Source organism: Homo sapiens, chromosome 13 (assembly GCF_000001405.40).
Source record: "Homo sapiens chromosome 13, GRCh38.p14 Primary Assembly".
In the NCBI taxonomy this organism is placed as follows: Eukaryota; Metazoa; Chordata; class Mammalia; order Primates; family Hominidae; genus Homo; species Homo sapiens.
In genome coordinates this window covers 50,021,044-50,045,094 of record NC_000013.11, presented here as the reverse complement: position 1 = coordinate 50,045,094, position 24,051 = coordinate 50,021,044, and the positions used below count along the sequence as shown (strand labels likewise).

Below are 24,051 nucleotides of genomic sequence, written 5' to 3'. Positions count from 1 at the left end.
ATTCTATTTGCATCTTATATTCAAGTACAAATCTCTCAAGATCACACATTAATATGTGATAGTAGATTTGAAAACTTAGCCTAGCTGTAGACTAAATTCCGTATTTAACATTAAAGATTTTCTTCAGTCAGTTATGTATCTTTTTGGTTAATATAGAGTTATAGGTGTTTTTAAGCCACTAAGTGTCATTACTGTTACATGCATCAGTTAGCCCTACTTGGATTAGCAAGATTATGCTTTCATAAACTATTCTTTCTCTAAATTAATATATTTATATATTTAGAAGTTGACATTCTAAATCAAATTGTGTTTTTTTCCTTTTGCAGGTGGATAATTACTGTACCTTCCTCATGGAAAAAGTTTTATTTAAAGTGTTATTTCTCATTGAATACTATCAAAAAGGAAAAAAAAATGACCTAAACTTTTGAGATAGATTTGGCTCTAGTAAGTATTTAGTTATATCACTTGCATATCTGGGAGAAGAAATAAGAGACTATCATCAGTACATTCCCATCTACTAAAAAAATTTATTTTACACATGTCAAGGGATTACTTATAACTTCCATTTTATTACTAATAGCTTGAACCCTTTTAATGAAGACCTAACTCCTCCACCAGAAATTTAAGTTTATGTTCTTACTTTGTTTACTTATAAAATACATCTCAGGTATTTCGGATGTCTTTTTTTTTTCTAAGCCTATATGAAATGAAAAATATATTGGCAAAATAAATGTTTAAACCTTTTACGTTAAAATTACTTTGAAAGATGAAAAGTTAGTGCTGTTTTTGTCTACGTTATACTGAAATTAAATGTTTATAATTTATATTTTGGGTTTATGTATAAATCATGGAATTTATGCAAAAATATGAGTAGTACAGATTCTCCTCTAATTCTGTAGGACTTTGAATAATGTGATATTTTTCTTATAATTGGACCCTTGTGTTTTGAAGAAATGCCAACTGCTTGAAGAATCTCCTTGTTATTTGTATTATTTGCTATAGGGTTAGATGTTGAGAAATTCTGCTGACAAAAAATTTTAAGCCAGTTTTACACTAAATGTTCCTCAGTCTGATTAATTTGTTATTGGATGTATTCTGTATCTTTCTTTTGTAATTTGTAACTTTTATCCACTTAGCACGAATGATTCTATTAAAGAAAATCATTAGGAAGTGGTAGAAACTTTAAATCGCCCCAGAGTTTGCCTGTTTCCATATTTTATTATCTTATAATCTTCGGGAGTGCTTACACTTATGGAGCTAACATTTTCAGAGATACAGCTTCTTATAGTAACACTAAAACTTTCTTCCTCTTTGGACTGAATACCTATAATTATAACTATATGGTAGTTTAAGTTTCCTTGTGATTAGTCAAAAATACCATTTTAGTATGAAGCAATGAAGTCTATTATTTGTTGTCCCATAATTGAGAAAGCTTAAATACACCTTTTATTAAGAGTTTGTAAATTCTAGCTTAGTCTACACAGATTTTTATATCAATTTGTTTATATTTTTATTAATGTCATTTCTGGAAGTGTGAAAATGTTAATGTTCAACAAGCAACATTAAAAATAGATTTGAAACATTTATATATAGAGAGGTACACATTTATTTACTGTTTAGGTACTGAAGATTATCACTTAATAAAAAATATATATCCCAGCCCCCTTGAAGCTTATTAATCTTGGGGGTAGAGGAGTGAGTGATGGAATGAATGGACAAAAAAGCTGGTAGGTACTATATTTGGTATGTCAGAGAGTGACAAGTTCTGTGGAGAAAATAAAGCAGGGAAAGTGAGAATGATGTGATAAAGGTGTTTGTAAGGCAGAAGAGAGATATTTTTAAATAGTATGGTCAGGAACTACCCTACAGAGAGGACATTTGAACAAAGACCTAGAAACAATAAGGGAGCAAACCATGTAGGTACCTGGGAGAAGACCCTTCTGAGCAGATGAAATAGCAAATACAAAGACCCTGAGGCTGAAGCATTTTTTGTGTGTACATGGAACAGCAAAGAGGCACATGTAGCTGTGATCAAATATAAACAGGAAGAATAGTAGCTTATAGGATCAGAGAGTTGATAGGGGCCATATCTTGTAGCTGTTTAAGCTACAAGATATCTGAGCTACAGATTCAGTTTTTCATACTTTGTTTTGAGTGAGTGTCGCTCTGTTGCCCGTGCTAGAGTGCAATGGCATGATTCTCGGCTCACTGCAACCTCCGCCTCCTGGGTCCAAGCAATTCTCCTGCTTCACCCTCCCGAGTAGCTGGGATTGCAGGCACCCACCACCATGTCCAGCTAATTTTTTTGTATTTTTAGTAGAGATGGGGTTTCGCCATATTGGCCAGGCTGGTCTCTAGAACTCCTGACCTCGTGATTCGCCCACCTCGGCCTCCCAAAGTGCTGGAATTACATGTGTGAGCCACCAAGCCCGGCCCAGTTTTTCATACTTCTTTAAGATAGTTTTGACAGGTATATGTGCCTTAGCCTATTTGATGTCGGCAGATAGGACAGAATATTTTTATGAATCTGATTTGAGATTAGACCCCCCATCAGACCAACTTAGAATACAAACAGTGTTTAAGTGGGGGGTTAATAGGTATTGTGTGATGATCAGGACTTTGCAAATTTTGCATTGATGGCTTTGAAAGTGTTTTCTGCGTGATCAATTTAGGTGGATCCAAAACTAATGACTCCAAGAAACACTGAATTTGCTCATGTTTGTCATATACCCAAATGAACCACAGTGTTTTTGATTACTTCATCCTTGAAATTTCTACTATAATTAAGTACTTCGTTGTTTTTCACTTATTTCTATTTAGCAGCATTTTAACTAGTTCTTTGCCTCTAGCTGTTTTTGTTGTTGTTTTTGAGAGTCTCACTCGGTTGCTCAAACTGGAGTGCAGTGGTACCATCTCAGCTCACCGCAACCTCTGCCTCCCGGGTTCAAGCGATTCTCCTGCCTCAGTCTCCTGCATAGCTGGGATTACAGGCATCTGCCACCACACCCAGCTAATTTTTGTATTTTTAGTAGAGACGGTGTTTCACTGTGTTAGCCAGGCTGATCTCAAACTCCTGACCTCGTGATCCACCCACCTCGGCTCCCAAACTGCTGGGATTACAGGCGTGAGCCACCGTGCCCGGGTCACCTCTAGCTGTTTTAAACTAACAATTTCATCTTCTATATAGTATACACTACTTTTTTAATCTTCCTAACTTTTTTTTTCCTATAGTATACAATTTAAATTTCTTTCTTTGATGTCTTGTGGTCTTGTCCCAACATTTTCTATGTTGTTTAATTTTTCTTCAAATGAACTAGTCCTAATCCATTTTTCTTTCTCTTTGCCTTTATTTATGCCATTTCATCACTCCAGTTCTCCCCCAACTAATGCCTGTACATTTTTTTTAGTAAGGCAGAATTTCTCATGTGCACTGTTTCTTGACCTTAACAGTCTAATATTAACCATCCTTCCAATGGAATGAACATATGATACCTGTAGCTCATAACCTTTTTCTCTACTTTCGCACACCTGAGGTATATAACGTTTCTATCATTGTTTCTCATTTATTCATATAGGTTAACCTTTTAAATGTATTAGCAATATGAAAAAAAAGTTAAATTTAAGAAACTTCAAAACAGTAGCCTAAACATCAGGTCCCAAGGTTCAGATATTAATTTTATGCTGACAAGTTATATAGTTGACTTTTTAAATTCTTCAAATAGTTATGTATGAACCAGTTACAATATATCCTTAAGATTTATAAACATTAAAAGAATAATTATCTCAGTTTTCCAATATTGTAAAAGCAATTAACAGATACACTTTTTAAAGAAGTAATCCATATGTTTGTTATGGTATTGTTTATAAAGCATTCAATAATAAAAGGCTGATGAAATAACATGTTCAGTAGGATACTGTGCAGCTACTTAAAATAGCAAGTGAATATTTAATGAGCTAAAAAGCTGTTCATTATTGAATAAGTAAAAGATTATCAAATAGTTGAATAGATTCACCAGAATAATTCATATGCTAAACTGTTTTACTGGTTTACTCTGGGTGAGAGATAAATCTTATAGGGGTGGGAGGAATCTTCTTGATTATAAATAAGCATGTATGATTTCTGTGATGGGCAAACTTTGTTTTTTGAAAAGGAGAGAGAGAAATCCTTGAAAAATAAAAGTGATTATTTGAAGCAACCTTACATCCATATAATGATTTACTTTTGGAAACCTATAAAAGGGAATCCTACTGTGTTGAGGAACTTTAGACATGATAATGAATTAACTGTCATGGAAGAAAAATTTCAAAATCAGATAAGTTTAAAATCAGCTTCAGAGGAACAGCGTGCTTTAAGTTCTCAAAGTAATATTGAAAAGGAATTCAAGAATTACTTCTTGAGTTCGTGGTTGAGAGATTTCACTGTCATTTCCCCACTCTTCAAGCCCCCCCAGACCTCAAAAAAAGGTAAGTGTAAGAAAAGGGATATTTAAATCTCTTTTAATTTGAAACTATATTAGTAAACAAACTAAAGAAATACAAATCTGGTTTATTTTATAGTGATAAAGATTTGATAATGCAATGAAACTTCCATATACAAAAATTAAGCATTTTTCTGTTAAGTTTAATTTTTCGTAGCATAAAAGTACTATATAGACATAGAAACCTCAGGAAGAGCAAAAAAAAATTATTTAAAAATCATTTTTATCATCCAAAAGCAGTTGTTATTAGCCTTATATATACACCCTTCTAGTTGCATATTTGGATTAGTGAATTTATTTCTCAATCCAATTCGTTACTGTGCCAGGGACTAGAAAGATTATATTTCCTCTAGAGAAGAGGTTTAGTGCTATGCTTCTGGCTCAGAAATATTTTCTTTAGATTTGAGTTTTATCTAAAAATTACCACTAACTTTATATCTATTCCATAGTATTGTAATGTAAAAATGCCTAGGATTAGAATTTTTCCTCAAGATTGAGGATACAGGAAGATGCATCTTGTTTACTCTGGATTCCTCCTCTACCATATCCGCATGTCATCCCCAAGGATACCTTTTCATAGTGAAAACAATTTGAGGCAAGGGAGGTCATGAAGTATTCTGAGCAGGAGAGTAAGAAAAATAACTTCTGAAATACGTGTACTGGTCAGAATTTGCTTAAAGAGAGAAATCTGGCCGTGGTGGCTCACACCTGTAATCCCAGCACTTTGGGAGGCTGAGGCTGGCGAATCACCAGAGTTCAAGAGTTCAAGACCAGCCTGGGCAACATGGCGAGACCCCATCTCTACTAAAAATACAAAAATTAGCCGTGCATGGTGGTGCACGCCTGTAGTCCCTGCTACGTGGTGGGGGGCTGAGGCAGGAGAATTGCTTGAACCTGGGAGGTGGAGGTTGCAGTGGGCTAAGATGGCACCACTGCACTCCAGCCTGGGTGAGAGAGCAAGACCCTGCCTCAGAAAAAAAAAAAAAAAAAATCTAAGACCTGTATATCAAATTTTGAGTTTGTTTCTTCTTTTGTACCTCAATAGTTACATTTATCAAAAAGCTGAGCTGTTGTAAAATTGTGGAATTCACATTGGATATTCAAAAACATTTCTTACTATTAATGACAACCAATAGTTATGGATATTTCATTTTAAACATGGTTATAAAATGTAAACATGACACTAATAAGCTCAATAAATGTTTGGCCTGTCTAGTATAATAAATATGTTTTTGTCAGAATTTGACCCATTTATGATGTAAGCAAAAATGATATGTCTTAATCCATTTGTCTCACACACTAATTTTATAATTTAAAAGAGCAATAGTAGTTTCATTCAGAAAGACAGGTTTAAGGCCAGGTGCAGTGGCTCACACCCATAATCCCAGCATTTTGGATCACCTGAGGTCAGGAGTTCAAGACCAGCCTGGCCAAGGTGGTGAAACCCCGTCTCTACTAAAAATACAAACGTGGCAGGCGCGTGTAATCCCATCTACTTGGGAGGCTGAGACAGGAGAATCGCTTGAACCCGGGGGGCGGAGGTTGCAGTGAATCGAGATCCCACCACTGCACTCCAGCCTGCGCGACAGAGTGAGACTCCGTTTCAAAAAAAAAAAAAAAAAAAAAAAAAGTTTAGAACCAGAGAAACAGCTGGGCTAACAGAATAAACTATATTATTTTGGAAGTCTAAAAGTCTGGCTATTTTGGAAGAAGGATGTTTGCTGCCAAAACAGGCCTATGGTTCAGATTTGAAGTCAAACCCTCTGTTATGACCACTTTTGTCAGCATTTTAATGGGTGCTGGGCAAAAGCGAAACTCCGTCTCAAAATAAAATGACTCAAAGCCTCAGGTCCATAGTAGTTAAGCTGTTGTGCCATTTTTGAATTAATGATTTTTAGATGTGTTTAGATAACCTCCAAAACCGGAGGAATTTGGAGCTTTTTGTTTGTTTGTTTGTTTCGGTTTTGGGTTTTGTTTTGGTTTTTTGTTTTGTTTTGTGACAGGGTCTTGCTGTATTGGGAGTGCAGTGGCACAATCATGGCTCACTACAGCCTCGATCTCCTGGGCTCAAGTGATTTTCCCCACCCAGCCTCCTGAGTAGTTGGGACTACAGGCATGCACCACCCACACCCGGCTAATTTTTAGAATTTTTTGTTAGTGATATGGTCTCACTTTGTCGCCCAGGCATGTCTGCTTCTGGGTTCAAGCAGTCCTCCCGCCTCAGTCTCCCAAGGTGCTGAGATTACGGCATGAGGCACCATGCCTGGCCTGAATTTGGAGCTTTAAGAATGGGTAACTTGTTCTTTCTAGAAAGTTCTACATAGGTATAACTTCAGGAAGAAATTGTAATGCTTTTAAAATACTCCCTATATTCTATTCATTAAGAAACCAAATCCCTTTGATGTTTCTTTATTTTCAATGATACCAGATGGTCTTGGTGTCTGTATACTCAAGTTGGAGAATTTAATTAAGAGTTTATAGGTAAGGGTTCAGCAAATTTCAAAGCTAGCATGCAAATTATTTATTTTGGCTAAACTGTTATTTGCTGATAAACATTTGTTCCCCCAGACCATTGTTAATTGGCAGTCTTGGTATGTAGCTCATATCAGGCCACATGTAGAGTATGTAGATGAATGTGAACCAACTAGAGTGAACTCAGAGAATGGAAACCATATGAGGTGTTTGAATGTCATGAGGAGTGGCTAGAGGTACTGAGAAGCCTGCTTGAAAAAGAAAAAAAATAATAATCTTGAGACTTGTTTATTCTTTATTGCACAAGAGGACAAAACTGGGCAAATCAAGTTTCAGGGAGGCAAATATAAACTCCAAAGCAAGGGTTTTCTACTAGTAGTGGATGTGTACATTATAGAAATGACTGCCTTACAGGACCTTAAAATGGGTAAAATGGGAAAAACACTCTTAATCAAGATAATAAGGCATTTTTTGAAGTGAAGCAAATCACCATATCAGCTTGAACAAATCCTAGCTTTAAAAATGTAAGGCAGAGCCACGCACGGTGGCTCAAACGCCTGTAATATCAGCATTTTGGGAGGCCGAGGGGCGGATCAGGAGGTCAGGAGTTTGAGACCAGCCTGACCAACATAGTGAAACTCAGTCTCTACTAAAAATACAAAAAATTAGCCGGGTGTGGTGGCTCACGCCTATAATCCCAGGTAATCAGGAGGCTGAGACAGGAGAATAGCTTGAACCCAGGAGGCGGAGGTTGCAGTGAGCAGAGATCGCGCCACTGCACTCCAGCCTGGGTGACAGAGCGAGACTGTCTCAAATATATATATGCAATGAAAATACTAGGAGTAGAGACATAATTTTTAAATATCTTTAGAGATATTTAAAGCTTTTGTAAGTTAGCGCTTGTCTTAAGAAGATTTCTTGGAGGCAGTAGGAAACCCAGTGTAGAACTGGATTATTAAGTAGTCATTTCCCTTTTAAGACCATAAAAGCAAATAAAGGTGAAGAATCTGGATAAACAGGAAGGAATCAATTCCACAAGGATATATAACCATATACTTTTGGGGAGAATTGAGTTAGTAGTATCAAAGGAGGATTTTTTGATGTTTATATTCTAGGACGCTTAGACATTAATGAGACTACGGAGCCATAGCTTAGGTTTAGAAATACTACCCTTGGAATTCTTGTTCTGTAGTAAATAGGAATTTAGCTTCAATTAGAGGTGTGTGTGTGTGTGTGTGTTTCCCACTACCAGGCACATAATAGGTGTTCAGTTATTGATTAAAAGAAATGTCTTTAATTTCTTCAGTCTTCTCTGAAATTGGCAGTGGGTCAGTTGATTCTGGCATCATATATGCAGAAAATACTCATTCTGTACTGTCTTTGCCAGTCTTTTGAACCTAAATTATTGTTGAGAGTTGATTAAACAATATCACTTGGTTGAAAAGATTGTTTTTAATTCATCCTTTAATGCAGGCTCTTCAGTTTTCAAGTACTTTTTAGACTACCCTGGTTCTCTTCCAAATTATAAGATTATTGATATGAGAAAGAATTGTAAATGAACATCAGCCCTGACACATTTGTTAATATTTATTTGCCCCTCTGGAACATAGGCCAGTAAATTTTTATTATTTTATGTGATTATTATAGTGAAAAGGACCCAAACCATCAAATAAAAACATTTTAATAGTTACCTGAAAGGGTTGTTGATTTTTCTAAAGTGTATATGGAAAACTCAAGGTTTACATGCTATTATTAGCGGTAGAAATAGTAACTGCTAACACATTTAGTGTTTATCCTTTGCCAGCAACTTTCACATTTATAAACTCATTTAGTCCTCACAGCCACCCTCAGAGAGGTCCGTTGTTATCCATATGGGTAAGGAAACCAAGTCACAGAGAAATAGCATGCCTCATGTCACGTAACCAGCAGGCCAGCGAGTCCAGATTCAAGCTCAGATGGTTTGACTTTGAAGTTTACGCTTTTAGGAATTATATCTACAGCTTCTATCCTATAGCCAACAAGAGGCAGAGGAGACAAAACTACATAAATAAATGCTCAAAATGATAGTGATACCTTCCTTTTAGGTAGTACTTTTAGTTTCCAAAGTACTTTTAGTCTTACTTTATTGTCTCGTTTAATGCTGGTGTCTTGTTTAATACTAGTTTAATGCTGCTTTTATGCCCAGGTCTTCACACATTGTACTGACTGCTTCCATTGAAATAGAAATCAGAGATAGTATGATAGGCTTTTGAGAACTTGTTTTAGAAGGGAAAAAAAATTAGAGACTAATAACACACTGACATTTTTACAACTTATTTTTTGTAATGTCTTAAAGATAGGTTTGTATGTGAAAATACTAAGTACAAGTTATCTTCTCATTCTCCACTGGTCCCACCGCCAGGGAGTCATGCAATGAGAAATATATTTGAGTAACATTGGAGATGAGGTGTATATGTGTTCATGTCATGTGTGTATTTGTGGTACATGGATATACATACAGACAAATGAATTTAATTAGAGTCCTTAATGTAATGGCATAGTTCCCTGAGAAAACTACCTTCACCCTACTGTCCAGAGTAAGTCTACACAATGTACAGGTCATACTTGGTCGTTTTTAAAGCATTAAAGCACCAGGCCAGACACCGTGGCTCACACCTGTAATCCCAGCACTTTGGGAGTCTGAGGTGGGTGGATCATCTGAGGTTGGGAGTTCGAGACTAGCCTGACCAACATGGTGAAACCCTGTCTCCACTAAAAATAAAAAAATTAGCCGGTTATGGTGGTGCATGCCTGTAATCCCAGCTACTCAGGAGGCTGAGGCCAGAGAATCGCTTGAACTGGGGAGGTAGAGGTTGCAGTGAGCCAAGATCATGCCACCGCACTCCAGCCTTGGCAACAGAGTGGGAATCTGTCTCAAAAAAAAAATATATATATATATACGTGTATATATACACGTATATATATGTATATATATACGTGTATATATACACGTATATATATACACGTATATATACGTGTATATATACACGTATATATATACACATATATATACGTGTATATATATATATGCGCACACCAAATGTCACTTAAGGACACTGTCCCTCTGGATGTTTACCAAAATCTAGAAGAGAAAATACACCTTTTGCAACTAAAAGGCTGCAAACTAAATAATCCAAATTCTAGACATAGAATTTTCTTAATATTTCATGTCAATTTAAAGATCTGGACTTATGACAAGGCTTAATAACAATCACTAATTTCATTCTATCTCTTCTAGAGCAATAATGGTAGTGTAGCAAATTCCTATTCATCCTTCAGTTTTTTAGGTATTACCTCAAAAGGGCAACCCCATCTCCCACATATATACACTTGTGTTAAAAATTAATAACTGCTGGCTGGGCACAGTGGCTCACGCCTGTAATCGCAGCCCTTTGGGAGGCCAAGGCAGGAGGATCACCTGAGGTCTGGAGTTCGAGACCAGCCTGGCCAACATGGTGAAACCCCATCTCTACTAAAAATACAAAAATTAGCCAGGCATGGTGGTGCATGCCTGTAATCCCAGCTACTTGGGAGGCTGAGGCATGAGAATCACTTGAACCCAGGAGGCGGAGGTTGCAGTGAGCTGAAACCATGCCATTGCACTTCACCTGGGCAACAAGAGCGGAAGTCCATCTCAAAAAAAATAAATAAATAACTGCCTTTTCTGTACTATCACCCTTAAAACAGTCTCATTATTGCTTATGTTAAATCATCACATGATTTACATGCTTCTATATTTCCCTGCTATTAGCCTGTAAGGCTAATAAGCTTGAGCCCAGAGGCTGTCTTATTGAACTCAGGTCATTTGGTGACTAGTAAATAGGCTGGTAACCTCATATACATTCAGTAATATGTTAATTCTCTGATTAAAAAATACATTGATATCAGTATTGGTATGGCTACTCAGAAATTATCTTTTCAGTAGAATTCTAGCCTCAATTAGATCAAATTTATAGATCATCAACATCACAGTTTCATTAAAGGATCAGAGGAAAAAAATGAGAAGCATGAAATGGTACTTGCCAAGTACAATAATGTAGTTTTGTGTCTAAGATAAGTCTTTGTAAGGGCTCTATTTCTCACTGAGATAATGTGCCAGCTGAGGAATAAATTTTACAACACTTCTTTTACCTCCTTGGTAACAAGGACAAGAGAAACCTTGACAATATATCTGATGTAAATCTTAAGTCTCTTAGCAGACTAAAATGGATTCCCAGATGTTTTTTCTGAGATGTTGCAAGAAGGCACTGCAGAGGTCAGGAATTCCAGTTAGTTTTGCTACTAGCTCAAGATACAGGGTTTTTAAGGTATTAATTTGTAATACTTTCTAAAAGTATTTAATTGCTGTTTTTTCCATTTCATCATCCATCTGGTTGGCCCTATGGTTTCTCTACAGTTTATTCCTTAAGAAAACTTCAAAATCCAAGGCAACCTTGCTTAGGCTGATGAATTCAAATTAGCTTGTATGTTAGAATCCAACAAGAACAGGAATTAATAACTTCCTCTTTCTACCTCATTAAGAAACTATTTCATTTGTATCTGTCCCACCTGAATTGTAAGGCATGACCCTTTTTCCTAGCATTGCGTTTGTGTTTTTCCCAGCATCTGAATTCTACCTGCCCACCCAGACCCACAGTACTCTGCTTCTGGATCTTGCCTACCTAAATCCATAGCATTCAAATGCTTTGCCCTGAAATCATCTGGCTTTTGGACTACACTGGGAAATCATCTGGCTTCTGGACGACTTTGTATAGGGACCCAAGTACATTTCCAAATTAGGCCTTCCATAGAGAGAACTCCTTTTTAAAAAAGTAGTTGAGAATTCCCTTTTTTTTTTTTTTTTTTTTTTTTAGACAGTCTTGCTCTGTCACTCAGGCTAGAGTGCAGTGGCCTGATCTTGGCTCGCTGCAATCTCTGCCTCCCGGGTTCAAACAATTCTCCTGCGTCAGCCTCCCAAGTAGCTGGGATTACAGACACACACCACCGCGCCCAGCTAATTTTTGTACATTTAGTAGAGACGGGTTTCGCCATGTTGGCCAGGCTGGCCTCGAACTCCTGACCTTGTGATCCACCTGCCTCGGCCTCCCAAAGTGCTGGGATTACAGGCATGAGCCACTGTGCCCAGCCTAGTATTATAATCTTTTATATAAAATTGTGCTGCTTATTTTTCATTTTAATGTATTCATTTAGAATGTATAATTTTACAATTTGTGGTATCTACTATATTTTAGCTAAACAGTTTTCTTCCATATATAAAGAAAACAAAATGAAAACATCTGACACAGTAGATGATATCTATTTGAATTAATAATGATTCAATCTGACTTATTTAGCATGGCAGTTTTAAAAGATAAATCTTAAGAATCCTATTTCCAATAAACAATCTTAATCTTAGGGCCTTCTCTGTTTTTCAAAGTATTTACTTTTCATATTCAGTATTTTTGTATTTAGCTTCTCTCAGTTGAAAAGATAAAAGTTCTCATAGAAATAGTAAAGTGAATTTTTTAGATTAAATAATCCTTTTTCTAATCTTTCAATTATCTTACTTGCTGTTATGGGGGAAAATGCTTTAACCATAGGAATGTCTAAAGAAATAACTTAGAATTCATTGAAGAATTCATACAAGAATTAAGAATAATATGCAAAAAGTAAAAATATAAATTAGAAGTGAAAATGTTCATTAGATTAATTTGATGATTCTTATGTTGAGAATCTATAAGTTATTTTCTGCATTGCCCTCATTTTTAAAGTCTCAAACTGGTCAATTATGTGTGTATAGCTATTCATTCATCCAACATGTCTCTTTGTTCAGAGGCACTTGCCTCTGTTGCTAGTCTCTTCAGTTTCATCAGGATGCATTTTATTAAGATAACAGTTGAGCATGTACAAGAAGCTAAAGCTTACCCACACGTTTAGAAGGCCATGAAATGAAACAGAATAAAAGATTATAATGTGTTATAATAAAATTCATATTTGTGATTATGCTAAAGAAGTATTTAGGTAGCTTGGTAACTTTGCCCGAGAAATGACAGTGTAAACAGAAGCTTAAACTGTTCCTGTCCCAGAGAAGTTAATTGTGGTCATATTCAAATACTTGAGAATTGGCTCTGTCATTGCTTAGTTGAAAGACCTTAAGTTACTGTCTTTCTCTAAGCCTTTAAATTTTAAATAAGATATTGAACTTGGCTCTGTCTTGTCCCAAATTTTTATAATCCTAGAAGAGAGTCAGCCTTCAATATATTCATTTTAGAGATATTTAGTATACTGACATATTACTTAAAATAGCAGATGGGAAAAATTAAATATAATCTCATAGATTTATGTGGAAAATTCAACATCATCTTAGAGTTCTGGAAATTGTGTTTAACTTTACCATTTATAGAAACTATGTTAGATTTCATTTCTCTTACTCTTTGTCAGATCGACACCTTGACTGTGTGAGACGTGATTAACAAAAAGGAAAACTACCCCCACTGGAAGTTGTTAAAGGAAAGGCAATGCAAATGAAAAAAAAGAAAAAGAATTTCTAAAAGTTTTATCAGACAAAAATTTAATTGAATCAATGGGGCAATCTGGAGTTCTGGATGATTCTGTTAATTGAAGTTTACAATCACTTTTATTTTATTTTTATTTATTTACTTATTTTGAGACAGAGTCTCACTCTGTTACCAGGCTGGAATGCAGTGGCGCGATCTCAGCTTACTGCAACCTCCGCCTCCCTGGACCAAGCGATTCTCATGTCTCAGCTTCCTGAGTAGCTGGGATTACATGCGTGCACCACCACACCCAGCTGATTTTTTTTTTTTTTTTCTTTTTGAGACAGAGTCTTGCTCTGTCGCCCAGGCTGGAGTGCAGTGGCGTGATCTTGGCTCACTGCAAGCTCCGTCTCCTGGGTTCACGCCATTCTCCTGCTTCAGCCTCCCGAGTACCTGGAACTACAGGCACCCATTACCACACCTGGCTAATTTTTTGTATTTTTAGTAGAGACGGGGTTTCACCGTGTTAGCCAAGATGGTCTCAATCTCCTGACCTTGAGACCATCCTGACCTTGTGATCTGCCCGTCTCAACCTCCCAAAGTGCTGGGATTACAGGCATGAACCACCGCGCCCGGCCGTTTTTTTGTTATTTTTATAGAGACGGGGTTTCACCATGTTGGCCAGGCTGGTCTCGAACTCCTGACCTCAGGTGACCCGCCCGCCTCGGCCCTCCAAAGTGCTGGGATTACAGGCATCAGCCACTGCACCTGGCCTAGTTTTTAAAAAAATTTTATTTAACACCTGTAAAGCTTCTGGAGTATAATCATTTTAAACCTTGTTTGAATATTTTCTAAAACATTAATAAAAATGGTAATATTTCAATATATTTTCTTGCCTTAATAAAGTATATGCTGAATATCATTACATTTTATAAATAAAGACATACCTTATTATCAAGTCTTATGTAATACAGTAGTGTCTCCCATTTTCCATGTAGTTACACACAGTCAACTGAAGTCTGGAAATATTAAATGGAAAACTCCAGAAATAAACAACGTTTAAGTTTCAAATTGTGTGTCATTCTGAGTAGCATGATGAAATCTTGCACCATCTTGCCTAGGATCGCAGTCATCCCTTTGTCCATTGTTTCTATGCCGTAGATACTATCTGCCTGTTAGTTACTTAGTAGCCATCATGGTTATCAGACCCACTGCCCCAGGATTACAGTGCTTGTGTTCATATAATCCTTATTTAATTCATAATCCTTATTTAATTCATAATGGCCCCAAACCACAAGAGTAGTGATGCTTGCATTTTGTTAAATTGTTTTATTTTACTATTATTCTTGTTAATCTTACTGTACCTAATTTACAAATAAAACTTTATCATATATATTTTTAGGAAAGCACATAGTATATATATATAAAGTTACATACTATCCACAGTTTCAGGCATTTACTAGGGGTCTTGGAAGGTATCTCCTGTGAATAAGGGTGAACTACTATATTCTGTAATGTAGGTATAGAGGTTTTAAAAATTGTGCTGAATGTGTTTTAAGCCAAGGATGTTTGATGTTTGATTGCAATTTTTCCTAAGATTGACTTTTTTTTTTTTTTTTGGAAGTAGAATGCTAGTGACTAATGCAGGTTAACTAAAGCTTCAACTTGAATAATCTTCATTTCCTTTAAGCAAAATTTCACTTCATTCCAAACTGAACAAAATTACATTGTATTTATGATTTCACTACACATTTGAAAGATGCACACTCTAAAGGATTCAAATTACAAACCTTTTCCGTTATAACCTAGTGGTTGTTAGCAAGGCTATGTATTTGTAAATGTCTCCTACTGCCAGAAATTGTTTGTTTCAGAGGGGATTGGATTATCAAGAATGGCTGCTGCTTTTGTTCATGGCTGTGTTGTGTATAAGTGATAGAGTTGGACAGTTTTATTCATATGCACATCTACTTTTTAATAGCATGATGATCTGAGGTGATAATTTGAGGCTTCAAGTTCTGAAAAGAAGAATGAATATAGTTTTATTTAATCAAAAATAGTTATTGTTAAAATACTACTTTTAAATGCCTGAAGCGTTTCCTGCTTGCATTTTTAAAGTGACATTATCTTTATTATTAAGGGCCTACTCTAGGTGCGGTACTTCACTATAGTTTATAAAAGATGGTCCCTGTCAGCAAAGAACTGTAACCTGTATGAGAATATTATACTAACATACAAGAAACAAGTAGAGAATAATGGAATGTAAACTCTGGCTTGCTAACTTAAGTGTGGTAGAAGCTTGAAGGAAATGTGGACTTAAACTTATCAGAGAAGACTTATAAGAGGATATGAAAGGTGAGCTGGGCTGAAAAAGTGGTTAAGATTGATTATGTGAAATGAAGGAATGATAACTTGCGAGTGCAGAAAACAACATGAACCAAGACATGATGAAGTAGCAAGGAGTAAAGTAGATACAGTATAATGAAGGCAAAGAGTAGATACTAGGGAATTGGTAGGGAAATGAGTATAATCATGTTTGAGATTGTTTTCCTTCCTTTGCATAATTTACCCTCATTTCTAATCAAAGAAAACAAGGGTATTCAGATTGCCTGCAGCCCTTCAAGAGCCATGGTGTGTTGCTTTGAAGAAAAAAAAACAAAAAACTTGTAAGAAATACTGGAAGGAAACCTAGGCATAAATAAGTTTACCCTAAATAATTGGGAGTCTGTGGCTTTTAACTCAGCAAATCAGGTGAGAAATCTTGAGAGGAAAGAGTTGCCTAGGCAAAATGCTATATCTAGGATATTTTTTGCCTTAAGTAAGATTGACTTTACCACTATGGGAGTAATTGTCAATGAATACCATAATAACTGTTGTTAAGCCAAAGAGAAATAATACTTTTTCAAACCTCACTCAGATTTTCATCCAAGCCTTAACTCAAGTTATTTACTCCTAGAATGTCCTTTCCTTCATCTTCAATTGTCTAAAACTTAAGCTATTTACCCCCTACATGAAATTTTTCCAGTTCACTTTTCCTCCTCAGCCAAAAATACCATTTCTCTCATTTAAGCTTCCATACCTGACTTAGAACAAATGCATGCTGTCTTATGGGAAGGGGCCATCTTATTCTTTATCGTATATTCTGCAAGCCTAGTCTAGTGTCTTAAACATAGTAGGTGTAAAATAAGTGACCATTGATTGCTGAAAATCAGGAGTAATACCTTTATGGTAAAGTGGTAGAAAGGCTGCATACCTGCTAGATAAATACAGAAATATGCAGGTTATTTTCTGATAATTTAGGAGTGCCCTCTACCTTTTACTACTTCACTGATCAGAGCTCTTCTCATTCTGTGTGAGCTATTAACATTCATTCCTCAGGTCTCAGGTACCTTAAAATGTCATTTTTTTTTTTTTTTCAGCAAAACCAGCAAAGTGTGGGTAGGGGTATGAATAATCAGGCCTGTGAAATTTTGTTATCTTTTGGGGGGTCATTAGTGATCTAAATGATCATTTCTAACCTTTCCAATGAAGTGTGAAATTCTATAAAGTTTAACTGTTATTTTTGGGCCTTTATTTGTGTATCTCTGAGGAGATAGGAGGTGGTAGTAGAATAAAGAATCCTTACATTTAAAAATACTTTTCAAGAAATGCCATTACCGTAATCACAGAAACAAAAGCATTGAGGATCTGCTGTAATTCTTTAAGGTAACTCTAAAATTAATGGAATGTTTTTGAATGCCTAAACTTACTGGAGCCACCTTATTGAGTGATATAGGCTTTCTCATAAACTTTCTTGGACAATTTTATAGGAGACCAAATGCCTTTCCTCCTTCTCCCAGCTCGGCCCTTCAAAAAGAAACCAAGCCACACCAAAACTTTCAAAAAAATCTAAGAAGGCAAAGAAATTTGTGGATCAAATAAGTACCATTTGTTTACTGCTATGACATTTAAGTCATATTTATAATAAGGATTCATTTTTATGTACCCTTATATAGCATTTATATAAAATTTATAGGACATTTCTGTTTTCCAGAACCCAATGTATAAATTACATTGATTGAAAAGCCTGTTGCTGTTGGTTTTGGTTTGGCTTTGAGGGTGGTTTACATATTTGTTATATCTACCTTTTAACCAAAAGTCAAGAATTCAACCAGCAATTAAATAATAATTCCTGTGGTAAAGCACTTTCCCTTCTATATTGATTTTCTTTATGACCTGTTTTCCAGGTGTAAATTTTGATACCACCATTGCCGCCTTCCCCTCAAAAAAGGTGAGAACTGACTAAACTACTGGTACTTAGACCATGTGGAGAAGGAACTGAAAATGGAAACAGAAACACGTCTGTACAGAGCAGAGTGTCAGATAATAGCTCATTTTAGTAGAGGGCAATAAATGCCACATGAGATGATCACCTCAGCAGAAAACTGTAAGTAACTGGGGACTTACAGGAGAATTGAACAGTTGTTTCTGCTGACTCAGTAAAAAGTCTTCATTTTATAATTTGTGGCCTGCATGCTTGTAAATTAAAATGCATTGAGTTGTCAAGTAATGGACTTGTCTGGTTTGTAGGTAGGAATTTAAGCCAAAATTGAATGCAACATTCCCCCAGAAGTAACCTGGGATCTGTGCCATAAAACCTAAGGCAAAGGTTACATGAATTTGTATTACTAGGTTAGAACTAGGCTATTGAGCCTTTGCCTAGAAAACCAATTAGAGGATTTTGGTCTTGATATAGCAGGGAATAGGGAGGCATTATAGCCTATTGATTTGTTTGGAATTAAATGTGGCAATACTATATATAGAAATGTCTAAGAAATAAAATATGGTAGCAAGGAAACTGGGCATGTGACTACTGTAGTAATCTAGGGGTGAAGAAACCTGAACAGCAATAGTGGCAGGAGAATGGAGGTGAAAGAATAAATTTAAGATATTTCAAAGGAAAAAGTTGTTGAATATCATGATGGGTTGGATAAAAGGGAGGTGTAAAAGATTATACATTTTCTATACTGGAAGACAATGGAGTTACCAATGAAAGAAAGGAGATAGTTAAGAAACTAGTTTAAGGCCGGGTGCGATGGCTCATGCCTGTAATCTTAACACTTTGGGAAGCAGAGGTGGGTGGATCCCTTGAGGTCAGGAGTTCGAGACCAGCCTGGCAAACATGGTGAAACCCCACCTCTACTAAAAATACAAAAATCAGTCAGACGTGGTGGCTCATGCCTGTAATCCCAGCTACTCAGGAGGCTGAGGCAGGAGAATCGCTTGAACCTGGGCAGTGGAGGCTGCAGTGAGCCGAGATCATGCCACTGCACTCCAGCCTGGGTGACAGAGTGACTCTGTCAAAAAAAAAAGAAAAGAAACTAGTTTAAGAGGGGGAAAATATGTTCCATTTCTGCAATGTATTTAAGGTGATATTTAGGCGTTCAGCTTGAAATGTCTTCATTTAAGGTGGCTGGATATACAGAACTGGAATTCTATGTAAAAGTCAGGCTGGAGAGGTAAATTTGGCAGTTACATAAGGCTGATAAGGGTAGAAAAGCTGACTGAAGCTCTTTATGAAGGACAGTCGGTCCCTTTCTTTTAGAAAAAATATGAACACACATTTATGTAAATAAACTATATCATTAGTATGTAATCTTAAACATTTCTAGAATTGAATAAGAACTCTCCCTTTTTTCCTTAGAGTGTCATATCTCAAGCGTGTGCCTGTTAGAAAATCCCTACGCTTATATCAATTATAAGAGTCAATGACTGAAATGTGTTAATACTCTTAAACCTTACCTTCTCTCAATAAAACCAAGATCTTTCCCAGTATTAGGCTAAGGGAATGAAATTGAGAACTTAAAGTCCAAATAATTCAGTCAGTTAAAACTTTATAAAATTGACCTGGCTTTAATTTCTCAAATGGAAAGCAAGTAATTGAATTGGGGGAAGTGTGCTAGTCTCCAGTTTCAAGAAACAGTACAGCACAAAGACCTGGCATTCTAGCTGAAGAGCTGTAATAATAAACAGAAATTTGAAAACCAGGAAGACAAGTTTTCCAAGAGTGCAACTGTGGCATTTCAAAGGAGATTTAACAAGAAATTCCGGAAGATGGCCAAAAATAGGTTTAGATAATTGAGATTCTTTATTTGAATACTTGTTTTTGATGGAGAAACATACTTAAGAGGAAATGAAGGTTCTGTCTAAGGTCTGAAACTTTTTTTCACCCTAAAGCAGGTTTGCTTCTGAAGAAAACTATTAGCAAAAAAAAAAATCAAATAGGAATTCAGTGCTGCTTAGATTGTAGGAGTTTAAAAAGTGACCAATGCAACCATTTTTAGAAAATTAATTGAAAGGAACTATTTTTGTTTTCTAGGAGCAAAACCTTGTTTTCTAGGATTCCTATTTGTAAAGTTAAAGTATCTCTCTGTTTACCCAGTTATTACTTGCCATGAAAAAATAGCCTCCCAGCATCAGACAGAAATACAATGTTACTCTACATCTTTAATTGTTTTTTATTCCAGTCATAAAGCAGCTTCTGAAATTGATTTTTAATATGGTCTATTTTAATGATATGTAAGGAAACCTAGAATGTTAATCTGCATTTCAAATTAGCCTTGTAAAACCTCAGTAATATGTCTTCTGGATATATCAGGATCTTTTGGACCATTTTACCTTGATTATTGAACCAATTGATTAATCCAAATTCAGTAAACTTAAAATGACCTCAAATTGGGTTACCCAGAACTAGGAATATTTCTGTATTCCATCCTACTTACATCTGATTTACATGCCTGGTCTGCTAACTTCTTTCTTTTCATGACTCCTAAGTTATGGAGGTAAGTGAAGATTTACTATCAATTATAGTCATGTGACACTCATTTTGAACTTACATTCTCTTAGTTTTTTTAATTTTAAGCATGCTGGTAGCATTACATTGTTCTTAGCAAATTAAGTATATCCCAATTTTAACTGGACTATTCTCTGCTTAAACATATAATTTTGTGTAATCTGCAACAAGTTTATATCCCCATATACATCTATATTTTCATCTCCTTTCCATATGGCATTACCCAAATAAACTTCTTTTTTTTCTTTAATGGAGTCTCACTTCTTTGCCCAGGCTGGAGGGCAATGGTGCAATCTCAGCTTACTACAACCTCTGCCTCCCAGATTCAAGCGATTCTCCTGCCTCAGCCTCCCCAGTAGCTGAAATTGCAGGTGCCTCCCACCAAACCTGGCTAATTTTTGTATTTTTAGTAGAGACGGGGTTTCACCATGTTGGTCAGGTTGGTCTCGAACTCTTGACCTCAAGTGATCCTCCCACCTCGGCCTCCCAAAGTGCTGGGATTACAGGCGCGAGCCACTGCGCCTGGCCCCAAGTAAACTAATTGAAAATACTCTGGGGTAGTTTCTGTAATCTGTAACTTGAGTCAACTCTTTCAGATTGTATTATTTAAATTATCCTCTTCCATCTTTGAATCTACTATAAATCTTGTTTTTCCAAGCATCTATTCACTGAGACTATAGTTTCCAAATGTTTCAGTTCAGTTCACTTGAGCTTGTTAGATGCCCAGCACTATGGGGGAGTATGACATAGACCACTATAGCAGTCTCAGTCCTCATCTTAAAAGAACTCATGGAACCTTAAACATTGCAGCCAGATTTCCTTGGAGGTCTCTTATTACAGAAAGCGTAGACCATGTGCAGTGGCACACGCCTGTAATCCCAACACTTTGGGAGGGTGAGGTGGAAGGATTGCTTGAGCCCAGAAGTTTAAGACCAGCCTGGGCAACATAGTAAGACTTCATCTTTACAAAAAAAATTAAAAATTAGCCAGGCATGGTGGCATGCACTTGCAGTCCCAGGTACTCAGGAGGCTGAGGCTAGAGGATAGCTTGGGCTCTGGATTTTGAGGTTACAGTGAGCCATGGTAGCACCACTGCACTCTAGCTGGGTGACAGGGTGAAATCCTGCTTAAAAAAAAAAAAAGGGTAAAACAAATCTCTCCTATTTGGCCTCATACTCATGAACCTGAAGAAATTCACATTCTTTCCAGAAGTGTTGTGAGATGATGAAGAATAATATGAAATGAAACACTTATTTGGTATGTTTTACCCTACTGATAAAAAGCCATTTGTTTAATAAAAAGCCATTTGCTTTAATGATTTCTGGATTTTGAGGTGTTGGTGTGAAATCTGAAGGTACAGAAGACTACCTACCTAAAAGCCTTGTGTGGTTAGGCAAGTCTTAAACACATTTTAGTTTTGGGAGCAAGGTCCTATTTATTTTGCTACATGTTTAGTTCTGTTTTTATTCTGTGCCATGCGTAATATCATTTTCCATTTTCACCCATGTAAGATTTTAGCTTTTTATCCATGAAAATATTTTTGTGATTGGATCTCATAGTTTAGTTAAATATTAAGGTATTTTCGATGATGAAGTGTTTTGATAAAATTTGTACTTTTCATTTATAATAGGCCCAAAAGAAATCCTTTTTTTTTTTTTTTTTTTTTTGAGACAGAGTCCCACTCTGTCACCTAGGCTGGAGTGCAATGGCATGATCTCGGCGGAGGCTGCAACCTCCGCCTTCCAGACTCAAGCAGTTCTCCTGCCTCAGCCTTCCAAGTAACTGGGGACTACAGGCACGTGCCACCATGCCCAGCCAATTTTTGTAATTTTTGGTGGAGACGGGGTTTCACCATGTTGGCCAGGCTGGTCTCCTGACCTCAGGTGATCCGCCTACCGCAGCCTCCCAGAGTGCTAGGATTACAGACGTGAGCCACCTCACCCAGCCAGAAATCCTAGTAAGTCTTGAGGTATATAGTTCTACAGCAAAGCCGGTAATTGTGATTTTTGGGGTTTTTTGTTGTTGATGTTGTTTTTAAATCATAGACAGATGGGGGTCTCACTGTTGCTCAGGCTGATCTCGAACTCCTGGGCTCAAGGATCCTTCCGCCTTGACCTCTCAAAATGCTGGGATTATAACCACCAGGCCAGCCCAGTACTTACGTTTTTTACTAGGTCATTGATATTCCAGAAAGCTAAGTATTTTTAGTAATTTTAAAATGTCCTATCTTTATTTCTGAGCATTTGTTTAAAAATGCTAAGTCTGATGCCACATTGCTGTCTCCCATGGGTCCTTTGGTTCCAGGAAGGTAATACAATTTCATAAATTTATTTTTGAAGATTTCCTCACGGTAGCTTCTACGTTGCTAAACTTGCCATTACAGTCAACTTCCCTAGCACAGAGGAAAAATAGCAGTAGAATATAAGAGATTGAGTGCTCTTAGCAAATCTTTTATTACCCCAGCATAGTCTCTAGTGGTGTAATTCTCTATTGATGTGAACATTTCTATTACTTATGATAGAGAATCAGTACAAAAGTTTATAAAGCAAAGCTGAAGTTTGTCACTTGTAAATGGTATAAAGGACAAATTAGAAACAGATTTTGATTTCCTAAACCATGTATTTCTCAAGCTGCTTTCTTGTGACCATTTTATACTACTTCAGGCTCCTGATTTCAAATACATTTTTAAAGCACCTAAATAGGCCAGGCATAGTGGCTCACACCTGTAATCCCAGCACTTTGGGAGACTGAGGCGGGCGGATCACCTGAGGTCAGGAGTTCGAGGCCAGCCTAGGCAACATGGTGAAACACCATCTCTACCAAAAATACAAAAAATTAGGTGGGCGTGATGGCACATGCCTGTAGTCCCAGCTACTCAGGAGGCTGAGATGGGAGGATCGCTTGAGCCTGGGAGATGGAGGTTGCAGTGAGCTGAAATCGCACCACTGCACTCCAACCTGGGTAACAGAGTGAGACCCTGTCTCAAAAAAAAAAAAAAGCAGCCTAAATTAATCTTGACTTTACCATACCCTAAGAACTCTTTGTAATTACAACTTGTATATTAAATCCAAGAGTAAAATTAAGCATTAGAGCTGTTTTTCAGAAAAGATTTGTAGGGAGAACTTCTAATCACTTATAAGGTAAATTATTGAGGTTCAAGAATCATAAGCTAAAATCTTGGTGCCTTGGCTAGGCATGGTGGCTCACACTTGTAATCCCAGTGCTCTGGGAGGCCAAAGTGGGAGAATCACTTAAGGCCAGGAGTTCGAGACCAGCCTGGACAACATGTGAGACCTCGTCTCTACAAAAAATAAAAAACAATTACCCTGGCATGGTGGTATGCGCCTGTAGTCCCAGCTACTTGGGAGACTGAGGTGGGAGGATCACTTGAGCCCAAGAGTTTGAGGCTGCATGAGTTATGATTACACCAGAATTCACTACAGCTTCCAACTCCTGCACTCCAGCCTGGTGACAGAGTATTATATAAAGAGTATTAAATAAATAAATAAAATATTTGGTGCCTTGTCAGAAATGAAACTGTGATTGATAAAAACATGCTGGGGCCAGGCACGGTGGCTCACGCCTGTAATCTCAGCACTTTGGGAGGCCGAGGCGGGCTGATCACGAGGTCAAGAGATTGAGACCATCCTGGCCAACATGATGAAACCCCATCTCTACTAAAAATACAAAAATTAGCTGGGCGCGGTTTCGCCTGCCTGTAATCCCAGCTACTCGGGAGGCTGAGGTAGGAGAATCA

The 24,051-nt window shown here is 36.9% G+C and overlaps 1 long non-coding RNA gene across 5 annotated transcripts in view, besides 1 other annotated feature; it reads left to right on the top strand.

The window, feature by feature from the left end:
* The window catches only part of DLEU2 (deleted in lymphocytic leukemia 2), a 142,993-nt gene that overhangs the window by 80,447 nt on the left and 38,495 nt on the right, over positions 1–24,051 (top strand). For 2 of the 5 annotated variants that reach the window (NR_152568.1, NR_152567.1), the window contains one exon: positions 327–1,659. This is a non-coding gene — a long non-coding RNA (deleted in lymphocytic leukemia 2). Of the gene's footprint in view, positions 1–326; positions 1,660–15,602; positions 15,818–17,688; positions 18,401–24,051 lie in introns of those variants that run through there. The other 3 variants (NR_152566.1, NR_152572.1, NR_152571.1) reach the window with 3 other exon arrangements.
* Positions 17,879–17,968: an enhancer, noted in NCBI's record as "active region_7758". NCBI's record gives its function as "activates an Ori minimal core promoter by ATAC-STARR-seq in GM12878 lymphoblastoid cells {active_cell/tissue: GM12878}" and the evidence as "EXISTENCE:reporter gene assay evidence [ECO:0000049][PMID:35858748]".